Here is a 22,032-nt window from a genome sequence, read left to right as displayed (position 1 = left end):
CCTTGTCAACAAGAGTGAAACTCTGTCTCAAAAAGAAAGAAAGAAAAAAGAAAGAACCACTGTACCCTGGTGGGAGGGAGAAGTCAGGCCAGACTGGCAGGGGAGGCATCCGTGACTGCTCCAGAACCCAAGGGGTAGCCTCTGTCCCTGCAGAGGGAAAACCAGGGATGCAGGTTTGCCCCTTGGTCAGCCGCTGGTGCACCCAGGAGGGCCTGGAAGGAGCACAGGAAGGCTGAGGGCTGGCACTGTGGAAATGCAAGTCCAGCAACTCCTCCCCAGCCAGGGAGGTTTACGGGAATGCCACAGAGGCCCCCGGCGCTAGAAGAAGGGCTACCCCAGATCAGCGATGACCCTCAGCCTGGGATGTTTGAAGCTGTTGGGCAGCAGGGAACGCTCATGGTGTGAAGGTGGCTGCAGGGCCACAGACCTGGCTGGCCCAACCTCCCCACCCTTCTCTGAAAGGAGAGATGGAGGGGGCGACTGGAGGCCAGGATGGGCAATTGAGTATTTAGATGGATACTGGCCAGCATCAGCCCCCAAATGACCACTCTGGTACCCTGATGGGGCACACCCAGTCCCTGCCTGATGCCTCCAGTGCTGGGGAACCCACTGCCTCCCAGGGCAGCCTGTCCCGTTGCTGAACAGAAAATCTGTCTCATACTGAAGGAAAGGTTGTCTCCCTACACTACAGCGTCTAAGCAGCAGGTGCCCTTCTGTTCAAAACCCCAGGGCAAGGAGTGGTCCTGGGGCTTAGCAGTCACAAATATGCTATGAAAAAGGAGGGCCGGGCGCAGTGGCTCACGCCTGTAATCCCAGCACTTTGGGAGGCAAAGGCAGGTGGATCACAAGGTCAGGAGTTCAAGACCAGTCTGGCCAAGATGGTGAAACCCCGTCTCTACTAAAAATACAAAAATTAGCCGGGCGTGGTGGCAGGCGCCTGTAATCCCAGCTACTCGGGAGGCTGAAGCAGAGAATTGTTTGAACCTGGGAGGCGGAGGTTGCAGTGAGCCAAGACGCACCACTGCACTCCAGCCTTGGTGACAGAGCGAGACTCCATCTCAAAGAAAAAAAAAAAAAGAAAAGAAAACTGACAAAAACCCCAATCATTTCTCTTTTTAAAAAGGTACATCCTGGCTGGGCGTGGTGGCTCACGCCTGTAATCCCAGCACTTTGGGAGGCCGAGGCGGGCGGATCACAAGGTCAGGAGATCGAGACCATCCTGGATAACACGGTGAAACCCCGTCTCTACTAAAAATACAAAAAAATAGCCAGGCGTAGTGGCGGGCGCCTGTAGTCCTAGCTAACCAGCTACTCGGGAGGCGGAGGCAGGAGAATGGCGTGAACCCGGGAGGCGGAGCTTGCAGTGAGCCGAGATCACATCACTGCACTCCAGCCTGGGTGACACAGCAAGACTCCGTCTCATAAAAAAAAAAAAAAGAAAAAAAAGCTACATCCCACACAAACAGACAAAAGTGATGCTGCTGGGTGTGGTGGCACATGCCTGTAGTCCTAGCTACTTGGGAGGCTGAGGCAGGAGGATGGCTTGAAACCAGGAGTTCAAGGCTGTAGTATGCAATGATCATGCCTGTGAACAGCCCTTGCACACCAGCCTGGGTAACACAGTGAAACCTTGTCTCTAAAATAAGAATTAAAATGTACATCACAATGCCAGAGACATATCAAGGTGCTGATTTTAATTATTGGAAAAAGATACCTGGATTTACATCTTCCCCAAACCTTCCCAGTGCACCTGTGAGGGAGCCCTGTTTAAAGGGCTAAGGGAAGTGTGAGACATGTTGGGGATAAAACACTTAAGACAAGGTACTTCCAGATGTGGTTCCAGGACCATCAGCGGTGGGGCAGGAATGGACTGTATGTTAAAACTGCAGAACCTGGCCGGGCATGGTGGGTCACACTTGTAATCCCAGCACTTTGGGAGGCCGAGGCAGGCGGCTCACCTGAGGTCAGGAGTTCGAGAGCAGCCTGGCTAACATGGTGAAACCCTGTCTCTACTAAAAATCCAAAAAATTAGCCAGGTGTGGTGGCACATGTGTGTAATCTCAGCTACTTGGGAGGCTGAGGCAGGAGAATCGCTTGAACCCAGGAGGCAGAGGTTGCGGTGAGCCAAGATTGTGCCATTGGACTCCAGCTTGGGCAACAAGGGCGAAACTCCATCTCATAAATAAAGAAATAAATAGTGCAGAACCCTGCAACTACGGTGTGATCCTACTTAGATGAGGTACCTGGAACAGGCCAACACATACAGACAGAAACTGGAATGGTGGTTGGCAGGGGCTGGGGAGAGGGATGGAGAGTTAGTGTTTAATGGGCCATGGTTTCTGTTTGGGGTGATGAAGAAATTTTGGAAATGGATTGTGGTGATGGCCCTTCAACACTGTAAATGCGCTTAATGCCACTAAATTGAATATCGAACAATGGTTAAAATGGTCAATTTTATGTTACATACATTTTACCATAATACAAAAAATTCAATTAAAAAAAAAAAGTGCAGGGTTCTGAACTCCACCCTGGAGTCAGTTTCTGGGGTGGGACTCTGCATTTGAGCCCACCGATGTCAGGGCTCAGCTCCTTGTGGGTGGAAAACACACATCTTGTCGGTGGAAAAACACACATCTCAGGCTTCCCAAGCTAAGACGGGCCTTGGAAACACTCATGAGCCTCATGCCCTGATTCAGGGCCAGCTCCAACATGGGAGCCTCTAGCCACATGGGGCCTTTTACAATTAAGTACAATTTAAAGCTCAGTTCTTCAGTCGTACTAGCTGCATTTAAGCCCAGGGGCTACCATGCAGGGGAGGGCCCCACGCAGGCTCTCCTCGAAACCTCCCAGGCCCCTTGGCTTCCCTCCCCAAAGGGTAGAGAGTAAATAGAAACTCCCCCACGTGGCTCTCCACTGTCTGGCTGACACAGGTAGAGATGCCAGAGGAAGCACAGACAAGCACCCAGCTGGATGTCTGACCACCTGAACGGCATCACGCCCGACAATGAAAGGGACCCGGGGCAGGGGACGGGGCGGGGAGGGTGGGGAGCCATAGTGGGGAGCATGGACGAACAGGCCCCACAGGCGGCCCAGAGGTGAATCACAGGACAAGAGTTTGGTCTCCTCTGTCTCCTTAGCACCCTGCCCAGCGCCTTGGCTCCTCTGCGGGGCTCAAGGAGCCAGGAATTCAGGGTGAACGGGAAACACGGGGTGCTGGTGGGCAGCCTGGAGCCGGGAGCAGGGTATCCAAACAGCTACCACCAAAGCCTCCATGTGTTCTCTCACTGCACGGCAGTCTTGTGAGTTCACAAGACTGAGAAAGGCACGTGCCTCTTTCTAGTAGATTCTGGGAACACGCGTGCCCGGACAGGGGTTGGCATAAAGAGGAAAAAAAGCGAGATTTAACTTAGATGTCCATCTACCTGACTGTGTACTTTGGGCCACTGGTGGGAGTGAAAAGGTGCTAGCGTGCCCTGATCGTGCCTGTGAATCGTCCCTGTGCTCCAGCCTGGGCAACACAGTGTAAACCAGAGTATGTGCCCTCCTGGGTTTCTTACTCTAAAAAAATTAACCCAATCCCAGGAAAGCAAAGGGCAGAGGTTCTCAATGTCTGATCTGTGGAATGCCAAAATTACGCAGGGTACTTGATACAAATCCAGATTCCTGGCGGGGGAGGAGGGGAGCCTGAGAATCTATACCTTAGCAAGCACCCCAGACCGCTGCAATCCCTGAAGTCTGAGACCCTCCTTGAATGGGTCAGAGAGGGCTGGGAAGATGGTAAAGGGTGAAAATTTCCAGTGCTGCCAAGACATTCCCATGACTTCTCTCTTTTTTTTTAAAGACAGAGTCTTGCTCTGTTGCCCAGGATGGAGTGCAGTGGCATGATCTTAGCTCACTATAACCTCTGCCTCTTCTCCTGGATTCAATCAATTTTCCTTCCTCAGCCTTCCGAGTAGCTGGGACTACAGGCATGCGCCACCATGCTGGGCTCATTTTTGTATTTTTTTTTTTTAGTAGAGATGGGGTTTCACCATGTTGCCCAGGCTGGTCCTGAACTCCTGACCTCAAGTGCTCCGCCTGCTTCGGCCACCCAAAGTGCTGGGACTACAGGTGTGAGCCATCGAGCCCAGCCTCCCATACCTTTTCTAAGGTTTCATATCTGGCCCTGGAAGCCTCCCTGTGTGACACCCTGGAGTATGGTCCCTTCCCAGCCTCGGGCCTCAGTTTCCTCACCTAGTAGAGGAAACGGGTTCACCCCATCCCTGCAGAGGTTTCCCTCTCAGGGCTCTGCATTCTAGATTTCCAAATGGTTGTGGCGGGGGAGTCTCCCGTCAGGAGCCAGCTTGCCTCTGGCTTCGGGCTGGGGTGAAGGGGCAGGGGCAGAGTCTCCTGTTGACAGAGATCGGGGGCCACTCTGGGCCCCCAGGGTTCCCCCCTCCCAACTGGCTCTGGCTGATTGGCAAGCCAGTGAGCCGAAGGTGCCAGGAAGAAAAGTCCTGTGACTCTCGGCAGCTCAGCCTCCGCTCTGTGGCCTGGTAGCCCGGGGAATCGTCAGCTGACAAGGAAACTGCAGGAGGAAGGGTCCCAGGAGGGCAGCATGGCAGCCTGGAACAGCTACTTTCCACAGCCGGTGTAACCTCTCCCAAGCTTCAGTGGTCTCACCCGTAAGATGGGGAGAATGGCAGCTGCCTGACAGGAAGAGGGGGATCAAAAGGAACACATGTAACAAGGTGCTTGGTTCCTGCTCGGCCCTCAGTCAATGATCCTTCCACACTAATGGGACCCGACTGAGCGAAAATCCACATTCTTCCCAGCCTGGGCACATAGAACTTCAAAGTCAGGAACATGCTGCTGAGGCTGTGCTGTGAGGGGAGGGAATAAAGCATCCGGGAAATAGCAGCTGTTGTTTTTACTTCTCTCCAATTCCCCAGGAGAGCTTTTCTGAAACTTCTGTACAATTAAAAGGTAGTGAACACAGTGAATGCCTGTGATAAAGTTACAGCCCAAACTAGCTGGGAGCCTGAGCCAGCCTCCGAATCCAAGAAGCAACAAAAGACGAGACCACGGGCACCGGCAGATTACCCACCTGGTGCCAGGTGGAGGGTGTTTCCCAAAACAGTCCCCAGTGTCCAGCACGTAGACTGAGGACGGGCCCCACCCAGAGCCCACCAGCTCCCCGCTGCTTAGGCCAGACTCAGTGTCAGCCAGTTCAGGGCTGGGACAGCGGCCAGCACTCACGTACCTGTCACACTCTTCTGGTTCCGAATTTCCTCCAAACTGGGTGCCACTGCAGCACATGACGGGCTAATGCCATCTGATGAGGGCTCTGGGGAATTGCCACAATTGATATCCTCTAACTGGCCTCTCTTGAAGGCATCCAAAAAGCAGACGAGAGAAAGCCTGGAGTCCCCACCTTCATAGAAGCCGCCACAAGGGAGACAGAGGTTGTCCTTGTGAACAGGAGGCAAGCCTGACCTTCCCTCTCCCTTGAAAGGCACTCATCTGGCACCCGCAACATAAGACGCACTCACGGAGAGTAAATCCATTAAAATAACTCCACGCCCGCACACCCCTTATAACCATGCCTGTCTCTCTGGAGTGTTTACAGCCCTTAGTGACTCACAGCAAACACGGGATCCCCAGGGCGATGGCTTCGGCCGGGTTTAATGACATGTTGGGTGTGCTTATCTGCTGGGACTAAAATCTGTCTACATGCAAATGTGCTGACGTTCCATTTTTGTCAGCTTGCTGTGTTACAGATGAGGGAGGCTAACCCCAGAGCCAGGGGTGCTATTTTCCTCTTGAGATGATTTAAAAAATGAACAAACTCTTCTTCCTCCAGAATGGCTGGAGGGTCCTGGCAAATTGTCCAGTTCACTCAACTGGAGTATTACAAAGAACATAAATGGTGCTTGGTGCCCATTATGGAGATTTCGTGATGACTCAGAAAGCCAAATAAGCAGCTAGCAGCCCTTTGGAGTCACCTGTTTGAGTAAATCCCAATATTTCAAACTTCAAAAATAAAAGAAAATGTATTATATATATTTTAAACACATATACATCAAGTCCTTTGGAGTCTAGAGGAATAGGAATTCCCCCTCCTTCCTTATGGCATGGGTAGCATCAGGCCCCACAGGGGGAAAGGATGCTAATCACACAGATTCCTGTCCAATTTCCAACAACTCTGAGGTGGGTAATACAATTTCCATTTTACAGAAGGGTAAACTGAGGCTTGGGACATTAAATAACTTGCTTAGGGGCATATAGCTAGTAAGGAGCAGAGCTGACAAATTCAAATCAGTGTGTGTTTGATTCCAAAACTGGTGCCCTGTACCCACTATGGCGTGCCACCAGCCTTGGCAGAAGGATAAAGTTCAGTCCATCACACTGGACCACAACACAGGGTGGAGGGCAGAGGGTGCCGGACCACAGGTTGAGACTCCTCAGGGAAATGGATCTCAGCAGTGGCTTTCACCCTGATTGTCCAGAAGAACCAAGCCCTCCATTGCCTCCATCCTGCCCTCGCCCTGCTAGCAGAAGTATGCTCACACGAAACCCACCAATGGGTCCTAGTGGGCAGCTTCGTAAAACCATTCTTAATTCCAAGCAGTGGAGATTGCATCTCATCCAGTCCCAGCACAAGTTCTTCTCAGAACGGCTCACAGAGAGCAGACCTCCCACTGAAATTGCTAACAGCAGGAAGATAAGCAAATGCTTGCGTTGCTTAAAACAAGGAATGTCAAGGAGAGGACAAACTTTTTTTTTAAGGATAAAAATTTAAAGGAAAAAGAGACCAGAAACAATGTGGGTCTACTTTCTTTTTTTTTGTTTTTTTTTTGAGACTGAGTCTCGCTCTGTCGCCCAGGCTGGAGTGCAGTGGCACGATCTCGGTTCACTGCAAGCTCCGCCTCCCAGGTTCATGACACTCTCCTGCCTCAGCCTCCCAAGTAGCTGGGACTACAGGCGCCCGCCAACACGCCCGGCTAATTTTTGTATTTTTAGTAGAGACGGGGTTTCACCGTGTTAGCCAGGATGGTCTCGATCTCCTGACCTCGTGATCCGCCCGCCTCGGCCTCCCAAAGTGCTGGGATTACAGGTGTGAGCCACTGCGCCCCGCCATAATGTGGGTCTACTTTCTTAAGAGCAACGTGAAGTCTTTCCATACTGCTGAGGTCTACGGTCTGGGATAAATTCCCGGTTGGGACATCCACTGGCTGTGTGGCTTTGGGCAGTTACTGAACTGTTCTAAGGACCAGTTTCCCCATCTGTGGATGGGATTAGCAACTGCACTTCCCCATTGGGTTGCTGGGAGGACCCATGAAGACAAGGCATCCTGTTTCGTTCACGACACAACTGGTCCCCAGAAGGGTACAGTGCTGGGAGCCGGTACACAAAGACAAAGACACACAAGCGCCCCAGTCCCCTCAACCGCGGGTTTCATGTAAAGGGGAGGGGCAAGAAGTGATAAGAACCCAAATGATCATCGTAATAAAATAATACAGAATTTTAAAAAGGTAGAGGATGTGAAGAGGCAGAATAAGGCCACGTGGCTTTCTGAGCTCGGGGTTAAGAGAAATGCCAAATGGAGCAAAAGGGTTAGAGTGCAGATGCTTCAGTTACAGACCTGTAGAGTGCCTCGTCTACAAAGATACTAATTTCCCACCACCTTTTAAAAATGGCTTAGTTCCTTTAGCTGATCGGCAACACCCTCTTGCCTTAGAAACTCAGCACCCACACACCTCACTTCATTCTAGAACGTGCTCCTCTGTCCACCCTACCTAAAAACTAAGCAGCACCTGCTCCCATCATTCTAACCCCTCCCCGGCTTTATTTTTCTGCATAGCACTTACACCATCTCTGGACATATCCTGTGCCTATTTGCCTACTGGAAATCTCCTCCCACAGACTATAAGCTCCATGGAAACCAGGGCTGCAGTCATCTCCTTTGCTGCCATATCCCTGGCAGCTACAACAGTGCCTGGCCCGGAGCAGATGCTCAAGAAATGTGACCGAATGAATGGACAATGAAAGATCAAAGAACCGGATTCCTGTTCCCAGTTTAAGAACCTCCAGTGAGCACCTGGTTCACTCTGAGGGGGCTCTGGAATGATCCGTCCTTCAGAAGGAGTTATTCCCTTGGTGCCAACAGGGAAAGTGAGTTGTGGAACATCTCAGAGTAAAACGCAATCGAGGCAGAAGCAGGTGCGGATTGTGCAAACATCCACTGTCTGCACCTCCTGCTCTAGTCCCTGGGTCACGCACCCTGGAGGTCAGAGCTGTCACCATCACAGGGCCATCACCTGCCGATCTCAGGACATTCTCCCTGAGCAATTCAAGGTGTTCGGGCCTCCATCCCACCAAGCCAGCATCCCCCTCTATCTTTTCCCTTCCCCACATCTCTGAAAGTGCCAATTCACAGACTCTCCCATCCAACAGGGCACCTCTTTCAGCTCCTTAAACTGAGCACCACATTTGACTTGGGATCAAGTGCTGAGATTCGAGGAAGAGCCACCGCACAGCCTGGCTGAAATGTTTATTTCAGCAACAAGTTCAGCTTGCAGCTTTGAGCCAGAGTTCCCATCGCCCTCCTAGAGGAAAGCCCCTTGTAACAGCCGATGGTTTCAGAACCATTTCCACGGCAGGCTGTCCTCAATGCCTAGCCATCATGGAAGTTCTCAGAAACTCGATTTGGTCTTTAAGAACCAGAGACCAGAAAGGGTGAAGGGCAGTAGGGTAGAGAAAACTCAAAACTTTCTGGTTTAGCTGCTGGTCTGATCTTGTTTCATGCCAGTGATGTCATCTGTAAACTGGGAAAAGAGTTTTCCAATGTGCTGTCTTTTAAAACGGACATACCATGAGGGCTGCAGGAATAACAACCACCCCTAGACCTAGGAAACAGGCATTCCTGGGCTATACCGTGTCATTAGGATATTATGATGAACACACAAATGGAGTCTATAGAGACACAAAGTAAACAGCCCTATCTCCACCTAGCCATCTCCTGTACATGTTTACATGAAAACAACTCCCACTGACACAACACTCAGCCTCAGATCACTTTAGTATTTTACAGACAAGACAAAAGTCATCTTGACATAGTTCATGAGGGTGGAGATGGAGCAGAGAGCGCCACAATCTAATGGGAAACTGAGTCAGTGGGAGCACTGACAGGTCATCTGGCAAGCATGTAATGCCAGAAGGAGCTGAGGACTAACATGCATTAAGCATTTATGGTGAATGAGGCAAGGTGTTTTACAGACACCATCTTTGGAATGACAGATCTTTAGTTGGTACTATTATTATTTCCACTGTACAGATGGGTAAATTGAGTCTCAAAAAGATGAAGCAACTTGACCAAACTCTCCCATCTGCTTCCTTTTCGCATCGATGCTGTTTTACCTCAACCCGTCTTGGACTCTGCCGTGTGTAACTGGGGAGAAGGTGGGAAAAGGAAAACTCCAACACAGGAGAGAGGACTACTCTGCCCTGACACCCAGAGGCGGCATTCCATCTCCTGGGGAGGCTACCATAGGCAAAAACAAGAATAGGGGGCCTTGTGGTTGGCTTTTTTCTTACAGGAAAGAAATGATTATTAGGAAAATAAGCCCGTGTGCTCCCCAGCTAGTGAGCTTGCTGCCTGGGAGAGGTATTATGGTGCTAAGACTTTGGATTTCCACGGACAAAACTGGGAATTCCAACACCATGATTTAGGACTCTGGGAACTTGGGCAAGTCGCTTAACCTCCGGGCTTTTCTGTCCTCATCTGCATGGAGATAACACAGCCTCACTCCCAGGGTTGTGATAAGATTTTAAGGATGTGTTGCATGTGAATTACTAGAACACAATAGGTGTTCGATGAATAAGGAATAATTATGTTGTGCCTCCCCCTCCCGTTTTTCCCGGAAAAAGTATTCAGAACTTGGACCTGGTGATGGCAGCCCCTTCTCAGAAAAGCCCTTCGTCTTCTAAGGTTTCTTCCTACTCCAGTCAAGATGACGCAGGGGTTCCTGTCTCCCATCCCCATGCCCTAACTTGGGGGGAAGGGGCAGGGGGAAGGGAGATAGCGCAGGCCTGAGTGGGATGGAACGGGCACACCCGCTGGGAACACTTTAACAGTAAAACGCTGTTCTCCACTTGGGGCGGATTCGCCAACCAAACGCAATTAGATCACTGCGTTTGTGTCTCCACCTCTGCAATTTCTCTTTCTGCATTACTCGGAGTTCAAGTGTATGAGAAACGCAGCAATCTCTCCGCTCCTAGCAAATGCGAGGCATCAATTTCGCCTCGGAGGGGCGGCGGTGAAGGGGGCTCCCCTCGGCACTCCGCGGGGGCCGCCACATGGCTCACAGGTGCGGTCCCAGGGGGCCGAACCAACTTCGCGCAGGGCTGGCCCCTTTCCCACGCTTCCCCCAGCAGACGCGGGGTCCAGCCCGGAGCTGGGTCTCCAGGCGCCGCGGGATCGCCTGGCTCCGGCAAGCGCGGTCCTGGCCCCCCGGTGCAGCCCCCGAGCCCCGGTCCCCACGCCGAGGAACTCACTCTGCGTCCCGCACGCCTCCCGCTGCACCCGCCCGGGGCTCGGGGCTCCGCGCGCTGCGAGAACTTTGCCACCAGCGGCTTCCCGATCCCGGCTCCGAGCGCCCTCGCGCGCCCGGCCCCGGCGGCTCCTGGGCCTGTGTCCGCGCCGCCCGCCCCGCCCCGCCCCGCGCGCACCTACCGGGCTGGCTGCAGTCGCCATCCGCTCGGACCCGGGGAACCCCGGCGCGGGGCCGATCGCCGGGCCCCGCCGCGTCCACGCACTGCTCGCAGGCTGCGGGTCCCGGGGGCCGCGCGGGCCCGGCCCCCGCCCCGCAGGAAGGCGCCGGCTCGCCCTGCGCCGCGAGCTGGCGGACGCGCTCCCACGAGCCCGAGTCGGCCGCCCGCATGCCGGGTGCCCGGGGGGACGCTACCAGCGGCTGCGCGAGGGGCTCCGACGGCGCGCGCCGGGCTCACAGACCCGGAGGTCGCCGCCGCATCGGGGCGCAGCCGAGCCCGCCCCCGCCTCCCGCCCGGCCGGCGGCGCGCGCCGGACCAGGGCTCTCAGTCCGGCCGGACGCCGGGCGGTCCGCGCCTGCTGCACGCGAGGAATTCGGCCGCGGAGCCTCTCACGTGGGAACGGCTCTCAGTCCCGCGGCTCCTCCTCCCGCTCCTTCCGGGCTGGCGACTGCCGAGGCTCGCCCCGCCCCCGCCCCGCCCCCGCCCCGCCGCGGCGCCCAGACTGGCCCCAGTGCCCGGGGAGCGCCGCCGCGTCGCCCCGTTGTGCGCCCGGCCCCCGCCACTCGGTGCATCCCCGACGCGGTCATTCCCGGGGACACGGAGGGTCAGAAAGACGGCCGATGTCACAGGGGTGGCTGTGACGGAACTCGAGCCCCGGTCTTTGAAAGCCCCTGGCCTCTGCCTGGCACCCCACTTTGCTGTGTCTCTCTCCTCTCCTGACACCCTGTGACAGCCTTGCCGAGAGCCGAGGTCCCCACAGCTGACCGGGAGAGGTCAGAAGGAGTGGGCGGGCAGGGGAGCAGCCCCGGGACCTTTCCTTCGCTCATCTTTGCGTGTGACCGGCCATCCTCTAAGTGAGGGGAATGCTGAGTGCACCCACCGTCTGGTGGGGGAGATCGCGAGGGGGCTGAGATCTGGTGGGAGGCCCTGTGACTTCACCTCACTTCCCCAGCCTCAGTTTCCCCATCTATGAGTTAGGCATTAGTAATTCCCCACTGTCCATTATCAGTGCTGCCCATGAACTCTCCAACTATGGCAGCCATTGGCAGGGGAGGCCAGAGCCTGGACCCTGGGAGTGGGTGGGGGAACAGTGACAAGGCCAGGCAAACCCTGTAGGAAGTGGCACCTTGGAGGGTCTGCACAACAGAACCCACCCGCTGGAGTGGGTGTTCAGGCTGGCAGTGCTCCTGTGAAGTAAGTGTGCAGCTCTGAGCCCCCTTTGATCTGGGGATTACGATGCTGTTTAGAAAGACTAATTATCTCCTTACAGCCCCAGGAGGCAGGTCCAGTTCCCCCCTGTTGTAGACACGCGGGAGCCGAGGCCACACAGCCAGGTGAGGAGTCAGTCACACACTCATGGAGCCCCCAGCCTCCCCTTGTAGGCAGCATGCTAGCAACCTTACCCTGCCCAGGCTTGGCTCTATAATCTGAGGCTCCCACTGGCCCAGGCCTGAGATGTGCAAATTTCTAGGTCACTGGCCTATGGCTGTCCAACAAGCTGTGAGAACCTAATTACTTTCCCTTAAGTCTACAAAACCTTTTAGGAGCAGTTTCCTGCCCATGGGTCAGAAGCCCTGGCTCTCAGCAACCACAGTGGCCTGGCCACCAACTATCATGGCCTTCCCAGCTTCCCCCCGCCCCCGCATCCTCACCTTCCCAATGATGGAAACTGGCCCAGCTGCGGAGGCTGCCTTAGAACCCCTGCCCTGTCTAGCTGGCACTTTTTTTTTTTTTTTTTTTTTTGAGACAGAGTCTCGCTTTGTCACCCAGCCTGGAGTGCGGTGGTGTGATCTTGGCTCACTGCAACTTCCGCCTCCCGGGTTCAAGCGATTCTCCTGCCTCAGCCTCCTGAGTAGCTGGGATTACAGGTGCCCGCCACCATGCCCGGCTAATTTTTGTATTTTTAGTAGAGACAGGGTTTCGCCATGTTGGTCAGGCTGGTCTCGAACTCCTGATCTGGTGATGCGCCAGCCTCGGCCTCCCAAAGTGCACTTTTAACTGCGCCAGAGGACGGCAGAGTGGCATGGGAAGTGCTGGGTGCTCCCAGCTGTGGAAGAAAAGTACCCACACCACTTTTCCAGGAGGAAGGAAACTGACACCACACCAAGTGACCAGAGATGCTGGGAATCCCCTAATTCCTCTCCTTTACTGAGATAACAGACAGAGCAGAACAAAAGAATGATCACTCTGAGCACCCGAGAGCGGAGAAGCTAGGAATGCCCTTGCCAGCCCCTGCATCCTGGAGAATCTGGTCCAGGACTGTCTGAGTTACCTTCAGGGACCTGCCTGGGAACATAAATGAGTGAGCTGGGTTGAGCAGGGGCTACTGTGGTTTATTTCATAAGGGCATTTATGTTATATTATTTTGACTTAAACACTCTTGGCATATTAAACACTTAGGAAGACTTTTCACTTCCGCAAAGAAACATAGTCTTTCACGTATTTCTGGAAGTACATGAATTATACTTTTGATAGAGACATGTGCTTTCCTCTTAACTCCATAACAAGAAAAAAATAGCACCTGGCTGGGCATGGTGGCTCATGCCTGGAATCCCAGCACTTTGGGAGGCCGAAGAGGGTGGGTGACTTGACGTCAAGAGTTCAAGACCAGCCTGGCTAATATGGTGAAACCCCGTCTCTACTAAAAATACAAAAATTAGCCGGGAGTGGTGGCACACACCTGTAATCCCAGCTACTCAGGAGGCTGAGGCAGGAGAATCACTTGAACCTAGGAGGGGGAGGCTGCAGATAGCCGAGATTGTGCCAGCACACTCCAGGCTAGGCGACAGAGTGAGACCTGGTCTCAAAAAACAAACAAACAAGAACAACAACAAAAAAACCCCTATAAACAAAACCCAGCACAAGTATGAGTATGTAGCTCCTGTCACTTGGATTTGGTATCAGAGAGACATTAGGCTGGTGGGGACTGTGGCAAATGAGGCCACCGGCCCCTGTAGAGGAGGCTGTAGATTGTTGTCAGGCAGGAATGTAGTCTTAGTGTTGTCAGATGTTCTACTTTTTTTTGTTTGTTTAGAACTACTAGGAATATGGATTTTTACATGAAATCTAAATTTGAAACATTAGCAACTCTTTAAAACTTAAGAAGGAAAGGGAGGAAGAGGAGACGGAGGAAGAAGAAAGTAAACATATCTAAAAGTCTTTATGTAGCCCATTGGCCACCAGGGACCATTTCACCGCTACCGTCACTGGTCCCTCTGCAACCTCCTGAAGCGCACATACGTCCTAGTTACTTTTCAGTCATCCAAGCTGCTTCGTAAGGCCACAACCCTGGGGAATTCCCTCTGTAACTTTTACTCAGTGCAGTTTGGCCGTGGCTCTGTGTGAATGTGTGTGTGTGTGTGTGTGTGTGTGTGTGTGTGTTGCATGCTCAGGCCCAGGACTGCAGATGGCAGTGGGGTCCAGCTTCTCCAGTTTTCTGGAGGTTCCCAGGCTGCCCATGCCCCCCTTACTCAGCTGTAGCCCCTCACTCTCCCTGCTCTCAACTCTGCTAGCTGGCAAGTCTGTGGCCACGGTGGCAGTTAGGAACCTATCAGAAACCCATCTGTCTTGGGTGGGGAGGTACATTAAAAACACCTTGAGGTACATTTATGAGGATGCCCTGAGCCCAGGAGATGTTTCTGCTCAGTTCTCCACCAGGAGACCCTGGAGTCAAGGACTAACCTACCCATTTTCTGCCCTGAGTGGCTTGGGCAGGTCCCACACAAATGATAACTCTTGGGGGTTTAGAGGAGATCCCTTTGCAGAGCCAGCTTCTGGGCATGTGACCTGTGTGGTCACACTGGGCCCCGTGCTCAGAAGGGCCCCGAGCTTGGGTGAATGCTCCACTGTTGTTGCCTTGAAATTCTTAATTATTTTTGAACATTGGGACCTACCAATTATGTAGCCAGTTCTACTTCCAGGAGACCTTCCCAGACCCCCTGGGAGATGCTGGGAATTGAGGCTGGATACAACTTGGCTCACTCTGTCCTGCTCCAGGGCACACTGTGTCCAGCCTCCGTGGGGCAGCAGGAAGGGGGGATTTGGGGGTCCGGAAAGACAGCAGGAGGTGTCCTCATCCAGTCCTCCCGGCAACTCATTTTAAAGAGCAGAGGCATAGTGTGACTTCAGAGGGGAAAGGGGCAGTCCAGACAGGGGGTGGGGAGGCTGCTCTGGTTCTGGGCTCTGAGGCCAGACAGGGTCCCCATGACCCTGACCTCAGGCTGGACAGGGCGCCACCCAAAAAAAAAAAAAAAAAAAACAGAAAAGAGGCTGCAGACAGAAAAAAGTGCAGGTCCCATCCAGAGCATCCCCTCGTTCCCAGAGGAACATCCTTTAGATCACTGGAGAAGACTACAAGATAAATTTGGCTTAAGGAACAAAACCCAGAAACATGGTATTAAGAGACCCCATTATGTTTGGTGTCTGCTTAAAGTTGAATATTTGAGCCCACTGAACTCTTTCCCTTCCCCCACCCCCAATTTGGCTATGATTTTAAAATAGTCATGCATCACTTAATGACAAGGACAGGGACAGAGGCAGAATGACGTTCTGGGAAATGCATTGGTAGGCAATTTTGTCATTGTGCAATCATAAAGCGTACTTACCCAACCTACACGAGATAGCTACTACACACCTAGGCTATATGGTATAGTCTATTGCTCCTATGTACAACATGTCACTGTACTGAATACTGTAGATAATTGTAACACGATGGTAAGTTTTTATATATCTAAACATATCTCAACAGAAAAACTACAGTAAAAATACAGTATAATCTTACGGGACCATCATCAGATATGCGATCGATCCATCATTGACCCAAATGTTTTTATGTTTCTATTTGTAGAAGATGTTTTACTGAGATCTTCCAGCCAACATGTTACTATCTCCAAACACCTTTAGCTAAGACAAAGCAGTAAACTCTTGATTCCTGGAAGATGCAGAGTTTTGTAACACCCCATAGTTTTGTAACTCCTGGTGAAACTTTCCAGGGGGTATGAAGACCTCAGCCACAATGTCAGGATCCCTTGCTGTGTGTGACCATGAAAAAGTGCCTCGGGAGGGGCGCGGTGGCTCATGCCTGTAATCCCAGCACTTCGGGAGGCCAAGGCGGGTGGATCGCCTGAGGTCAGGCGTTCGAGACCAGCCTGGCCAACATGGTGAAACCCTGTCTCTCCTAAAAATACAAAAGTGAGCCAGGTGTGGTGGAACGCGCCTGTCATCCCAGCTACTCAGGAGGCTGAGGCAGGAGAATCATTTGAACCTGGGAGGCGGAGGTTGCAGTGAGCCGAGATCGTGCCACTGCACTCCAGCCTGGCCAACAGAGCGAGACTGTCTCAAAAACAAACAAACAAAAAAGTGCCTCCTGTCTCTGCATCTGAGTGTTCTGGAGGTTCGAAGGGCTGGCTTTGCGGGTGTGAGGAGGGTTTTTCTAGCTCTGCCCACTGCAGTTGACTTGCTCTTTTTTATCCTTTCTCATGGTAGTTGCGTGGGTATGTTTTGTGTGTGTGTCGCTGGTAGTGATGGGAAGTATATTACCTATTGCTGCATAACAAATCACCTCCAAACTCAGTGGTTTAAAACAATAGGGATTGATTATCTCATAGTTTCTATGGGTCAGGAATCCAGGTGTGGCTTAGCTGGGTCTTCCAGTTCAGGGTCTCTTAAAGGCTGCAATCAAGGTGTCAGGTGGAGCTGCTGCCAACTTGAGGCTCAACCTAGGGACAATCTACTTCCAAACCAAACTCACTTACAAGGCTAGTGGCAAGATGCAATTCCTCCCAGGATATATATATATATATATATATATATATATATATATATATATTTTTTTTTTTTTTTTTTTTTTTTTTTTTTTTTGAGATGGAGTCTTACTCTGTCGCCCAGGCTGGACTTCAGTGGCGCAATCTCAGCTCACTGCAACCTCTGCTGCCCGAGTTCAAGCAATTCTCCTGTCTCAGCCTCCAGAGTAGCTGGGACTACAGGCATGTGCTACCACGTCCGGCTAATTTTTGTATTTTTAGTAGAGATGGGGTTTCACCATATTGGTCTGGCTGGTCTCGAACTCCTGACCTCAGGTGATCCACCTGCCTCAGTCTCCCAAATTGCTGGGGTTACAGGGGTGAGCCACCATGCCAGCCCCATTCCTCCCAGGATATTGAACTGAGAACCTCAGTTCCTCATTGGCTGTGAGATCTCCTCACAGAATGGCAGCTTGCTTCCCACAGAGGCCTCCAAGAAAGAGAAGAGAAGGTGTGCAAGAAGAGATGGAAGCCACAGTCTCTTTGCAGCCTAATCTCAGACAGGACAGCCCATCTTGTTCTCCCTATTCTGTTCATTAGAAGTGCATCTAGATCTTGGCCAGACGCAGTGGCTCATGCCTTTAATCCCAGCACTTTGGGAGGCTGAGGCAGGCGGATCACAAGGTTAAGAGATTGAGACCATCCTGGCCAACATGGTGAAACCCCATCTCTACTAAAAATACAAAAATTAGCCGGGCGTGGTGGCTCATGCTTGTAATCCCAGCTACTCGGGAGGCTGAGGCAGTAGAATTGCTTGAACCCAGGAGGCAGAGGTTGCGGTGAGCTGAGATCGCGCCACTGCACTCCAGCCTGGGCGACAGAGCAAGACTCCATCTCAAAAAAGAAAGAAAGAAAGAAAGAAAGGAAGGAAGGAAGGAAGGAAGAAAGAAAGAAGTACATTTAGATCTCACCCCCAATCTAGGAGAGAAGACAAACTGAGGTGGATACCAGGAGGCAGGATCATTGGGGTCATCTTGGAAGCTGCCCACCCAGTGAGTTGGGGACACAGTCTCTAGAAGCAGAGAGGCCAGGATGCAAATCACTAGCGTGTGATTGAGACAGATGATTTCATCCCTGGAATCCTCAGGTTCTCCATCCGTAAAAATGGAAATGATCATGGTCACTACTTGTCGGGCTGTGGCAAGGGCCTTCAGGAGATGAGGCACACATAAAAAGCTCTGCATGGGGCCTGGCATAGGGTAAATCCTCAAAAACTGGGCTAGTGAAACATTCCCAGAGGAGGCCAGAGTGACCTGCCCACGGCTTCTGAGCGGGACACACTCCCTGCTATCTCTATGGAGACTGTCATCTCCGTCCACTCCTGGGGGCTCCAAAGTGACTTGGAAGCCCTTTGGCAGCCCCTGGGCCGCCTTTGTTGCTGAGGCCACCAGCAGGGATGGTGCTGATCTCCTCTTCTTCCCTCGGCCATCCCAGCAGGACTCTGGGACCCCAGGTGCATCGGGAAGGATTAGAGCTGGATTTTCCCCAAACCTATTTAGACCTTTGCCCTTGGTGGGGTGAGGATTTTACTCGGGGTCCACCCTGCCATCTGTCCTGGCGAGGCTAGAGACTTCTGTGGGCCTTTCATGGGCTCACTGATACCCTTTGATGGTTTTCCCAGGTCCCCAAATGACCTGGCAGAAATCCTGATCTCCTCCAGGGCCTTGCAAAGGGCTTCTCCTAGAGGCAGAGCTTAGCCCAGTCCTCGGGCAGAACAGGCCATTCAAGCCATTTCATGGAGTTCAAGGTGTCAGGTGGAGCTGCCTTCATGCCCTGCTTGTTGGACTGTCACGAGCCCCAAGTTAAATTTTTTTTTTTTTTGAGACAAGGTCTTGCTTGTCACCCAGCCTAGAATGCAGTGGTATGATGATGGCTCAATGCAGCCTCAAACTCCTGGGCTCAAGCAATCCTTCTGCCTCAGTCTCCCAAGTACCTAGGACCACAGGTGTGCCACCACCATGCCCAGCTAATTTTTAATTTTTTTTGTAGATATAGGGTCTCACTGTGTTGCCCAAGCTGCCGCAAACTCCTGGCGTTAAGTGGTCCTCCTACCTTAGCCTCCCAAAGCACTAGAATTACAGGTATGAGCCACCACAGTGGGCCCCAAGTTAGATTCTTAATTGTAACAAAATAATAAAGTCCTTCCTTATCCAGGGGCCACATCTCACCTTTTCTAAGTCCCTTTTTGAAGAGTTCAAGTAGGAAAGTTTCTGCAGAAAGTTAAAATGTTGCAGCTTATTGAGAATTAAAAGAATAGACTGGGTGTGGTGGCTCACGCCTGTAATCCCAGCAGTTTGGGAGGCCAAGGCAGGTGGATCACCTGAGGTCAGGATCACCCGAGGTCAAGATCAGCCTGGCCAACATGGTGAAACCCCATCTCTACTAAAAATACAAAAACGAGTTGGGCATGGTGGCACACACCTGTAATCCCAGCTGCTCGGGAGGCTGAGGCAGGAGAATCGCTTGAACCCGGGAGGTGGAGGCTGCAGTGCACCAAGATCATGCCACTGCATTTCAGCCTGGGTGACAAAGCGAGACTCTGTCAAAAAAAAAAAAAAAAAAAGAACAACAGTGAAAATACTACAAATAATAATAATAATGGCAAACATTTACATAGCACTTACTATGTGCCAGGCAGTGTTCTAAGAATTTAAATATTAATTTAATCCTCCCCACAACCCAGAGAGGTAAGTGTACTATTATTATCATCCCCACTTTACAGATGAGGAAACAGACACAGAGAGGTCAAGTCACTTACCCAAAGTCACACAGCCAGTAAGTGATGGAAGCAGGACTAAAGCCCACGTAGTCTGGCTGCAAGGTCCATACTCATAGCCATGATGCTGCCTTGGCAATAGGTGTCATTTACTGAGCACTGACATCAGTCCAGGGACTGTGCTTTCCGGCTCATTCAACCCGCCAAGCCACCCTATCCCCAGGTTCCAGATGAGAAAATGAAGGTTTAGGGAGACAAAAAGGACTCATCCAAGGTGATGTGGCTGGAAAAGGCAGCGTTGGGAGTCTGTCAGAATTGAGGGGTATCCTCTGCGAAACTGCCTCCCACATCAGGGGTTATGGAGAATGCATGCCTGTGGGCAGCGGGGAACAGTCACCTCTTCATTCTTCATAAAGAGGGGGGACTCAGAGGGAACCCTCAGCAGTGCTGCTGGGCAGGATGTGTCCTCTGCTGCCCCTGGTGGCTACTAGCGGAACTTCTTCTTCCCCAAGTGGGACCCTTGGCTCTGGGAATCGTGACACTATGTTCACCATTGCAATTTTCAGACTCTGTGTCTCCATTTCCTGCGTGTGATTTGAGAGACACAGAGGGCCAGGGGCCAGCAAGGGGCCCAAGAAAAGAATAACAGTTACTGTTTACTGAGCACTGCCACCTCTATGCCAGGCACTCTGCTGGAGACTCCTTACTTAAAAGTTACCATTTAATTAATCAATGCACAGATATATAATCATGATTGTTAAGAGCTATTAATAGTAGACAGAGCAGTTTACACATATTAGCTCATTTTCTTTTCTTTTTTTCTTTCTTTTGAGGCGGAGTTTCGCTCTTGTTGCCCAGGCTGGAGTGCAATGGCACGATCTTGGCTCACCGCAACCTCCGCCTCCCAGGTTCAAGCAATTCTCCTGCCTCAGCCTCCCGAGTAGCTGGGATTACAGGCATGCACCACCACGCCCGGCTAATTTTGTATTTTTAGTAGTGATGGGGTTTCTCCATGTTGAGGCTGGTCTCGAACTCCTGACCTCAGGTGATCCGCCCGCCTCAGCCTCCCAAAGTGCTGGGATTATAGGCGTGAGCCACCGCGCCTGGCCAATATTAGCTCATTTTCATCCCCAGAAGTACTATGTAAGTACCAGTACTATGTAAGTGCTATTGCTATTACTATCCTCATTTTATCAATGAGGGATCCAAGGTTCAGAGAGGTTAAGCAGGTTGCCCCACATCACACAGCTAGTATAAGGTGGAGCTAAGATTCAAACTTAGAAAGTTCTGGCTCCAGAACCTGTTCTCTTAACCATTATGCCATTATCAATGGGACTGGGATGGAGCCCCTGCCACCCATTCTCGAAGGCAACAAAATGATCCCAAAGAGCAGGCTAGGGAACTGCTTCCAGATTCTTGCTGGGTCAGCGGTGAGGTCCAAGGATGCCGGCCAGGCCTGTCCCTTTAAGGCTTAAAGTGCCCATCTCTCCTAGAGAAACTCATCTCCCTCAGTGGCTACAAGGAAGTTGGAACAATAGAGTAAGAGCCCCTGTGTAGTCGTGCCTGGGCCTTTCCTGGGAAGATCTCTGTGCTACCGGCAAATAGTAATTAGGCATCCCAACACCGATGGGGGTTTAGTTGTTCAAAGACAAAGCTGGCTTTTCTCCTGTTGGTGGGTGAGAAATGCAAAGCCCAGAGAGGCAGACACTTGCCCAGGGGGGTACAGCAAATCAAGGGCCAGGGGGACTAATCAGGTAAGCCCTAGGGCAGCGGTTCTCAAAGTGTGGCCCCTGATCAGCTGCAGCAGCATCTCTCCTGAGCATGGAGGAGAAATGCAAATTCTTGGCCCCACCCCAGACCTCCTGAATCAGAAACCCAGGAGGCGAGGCCCAACAGTCTGTTTCCACAGCCCTCCAGGTGACCCTGTTGCTGTGACAGCTGAGGGCCACTGCCCTGCCCAGAAGGGCTGCTAGGTCTTCATGCCCTCTGAGTGGGGAGGAAGGAGGCAGTGGAGCGTGGCAAGGTCGCGTTTTCAGTGGCTGTGGTGTCGGAATTATGTAACATCCCCTCCTCCATCCTGAAGGTCTTCTGCACCCAGAGTCCAAATGCAGAGGCCCTCCCTTGTCAGGAGGCCACCTGCCTGGGCTCCAGGAGGCCTGTCTGCACACGCCTGCGGCTGCTTTCCCCATAATTATGGGCTCTGCCCGCCTGTCTACCCGCCCACCAGAACTCAGGCACGTCAGCCCGAGCGACTCCTAGCTTCTCCAACTCAAGGCAGAGCACACAGGGCCCCCACCACCCCTGCACAGGCAGGTTAGGGGCTTTGGTGGCTACAAAGACGCCCAGCAAGGTTGGGAACGGGCCTTACCTTGCCCTCAGTGGCCCCAGCATGGGCCAAGCCCAGACAGTAAGGCAGAGAGTTCTGTACTCTGGACATCAGAAAGTCACCTTAGGCCCTGGTCTCTGGGTTCTCAGGGCAGAAATCTGTAATGGCCCCTAGTCCCAATGGGACTAATTAGAATTTGTTCTAAATTCTTCTTTTCCCAGGATTGTTATTTAAATATCTTTGGAACTGGTTTCGGGAGGCAGATTTGTTGAACAGATACGTAGGAAGGACTGGCATCTTCCCCCTGAAGTTTCTCATTAAAACAAACAAGCAAAAATGTGTTTGGATAAATGCGAAAGGCGCTGCCTTCTTTTTGTTTTTAAAGACTTGACCTTTGGGAGTGGAATGTTTCTCCCAGATCAGGGGCCCAGTGGAGG

At 52.1% G+C, this 22,032-nt stretch overlaps 1 protein-coding gene and 1 long non-coding RNA gene across 20 annotated transcripts in view, besides 3 other annotated features; one reads left to right on the top strand and one right to left on the bottom strand.

The window, feature by feature from the left end:
• The window catches only part of KAZN (kazrin, periplakin interacting protein), a 1,225,220-nt gene that overhangs the window by 182,757 nt on the left and 1,020,431 nt on the right, over positions 1–22,032 (bottom strand). For 3 of the 19 annotated variants that reach the window (XM_011541075.3, XM_047415880.1, NM_001018000.4), the window contains exon 1: positions 10,715–11,133. The exons of 11 other annotated variants lie outside the window; for them this stretch is intronic. In XM_011541075.3, coding sequence (XP_011539377.1) covers positions 10,715–10,922 — 208 coding nt within the window. In that variant the 5' untranslated portion in view covers positions 10,923–11,133. Of the gene's footprint in view, positions 1–5,242; positions 5,548–10,536; positions 11,159–22,032 lie in introns of those variants that run through there. 5 more of the 19 variants (XM_011541077.3, NM_001018001.3, NM_001370231.2 and 2 more) reach the window with 4 other exon arrangements.
• Positions 314–490: a silencer, noted in NCBI's record as "fragment chr1:15261293-15261469 (GRCh37/hg19 assembly coordinates)". NCBI's record gives its function as "represses an EF-1alpha promoter that drives an FKBP-Casp9 reporter gene in an ReSE screen in both phorbol 12-myristate 13-acetate-treated (for megakaryocytic differentiation) and untreated K562 erythroleukemia cells {active_cell/tissue: K562 | K562(+PMA)}" and the evidence as "EXISTENCE:reporter gene assay evidence [ECO:0000049][PMID:32094911]".
• Positions 11,093–11,272: a silencer, noted in NCBI's record as "silent region_293". NCBI's record gives its function as "represses an Ori minimal core promoter by ATAC-STARR-seq in GM12878 lymphoblastoid cells {active_cell/tissue: GM12878}" and the evidence as "EXISTENCE:reporter gene assay evidence [ECO:0000049][PMID:35858748]".
• Positions 11,303–11,802: an enhancer, noted in NCBI's record as "H3K4me1 hESC enhancer chr1:15249981-15250480 (GRCh37/hg19 assembly coordinates)". NCBI's record gives its function as "activates a minimal SCP1, AML or CMV promoter by ChIP-STARR-seq in naive H9 embryonic stem cells {active_cell/tissue: H9 hESC(naive)}" and the evidence as "EXISTENCE:reporter gene assay evidence [ECO:0000049][PMID:30033119]".
• LOC124903849 (uncharacterized) lies at positions 11,396–12,915 on the top strand. The gene is made up of 3 exons (XR_007065477.1): positions 11,396–11,525; positions 12,023–12,086; positions 12,834–12,915. It is a non-coding gene; the product is annotated as an uncharacterized LOC124903849 (long non-coding RNA).

The sequence above is a fragment of the Homo sapiens genome, chromosome 1, assembly GCF_000001405.40.
Source record: "Homo sapiens chromosome 1, GRCh38.p14 Primary Assembly".
NCBI lineage: Eukaryota > Metazoa > Chordata > Mammalia > Primates > Hominidae > Homo > Homo sapiens.
Note: the sequence above shows the minus strand (reverse complement) of the source record. Positions and strands in the feature narration are given on the sequence as shown.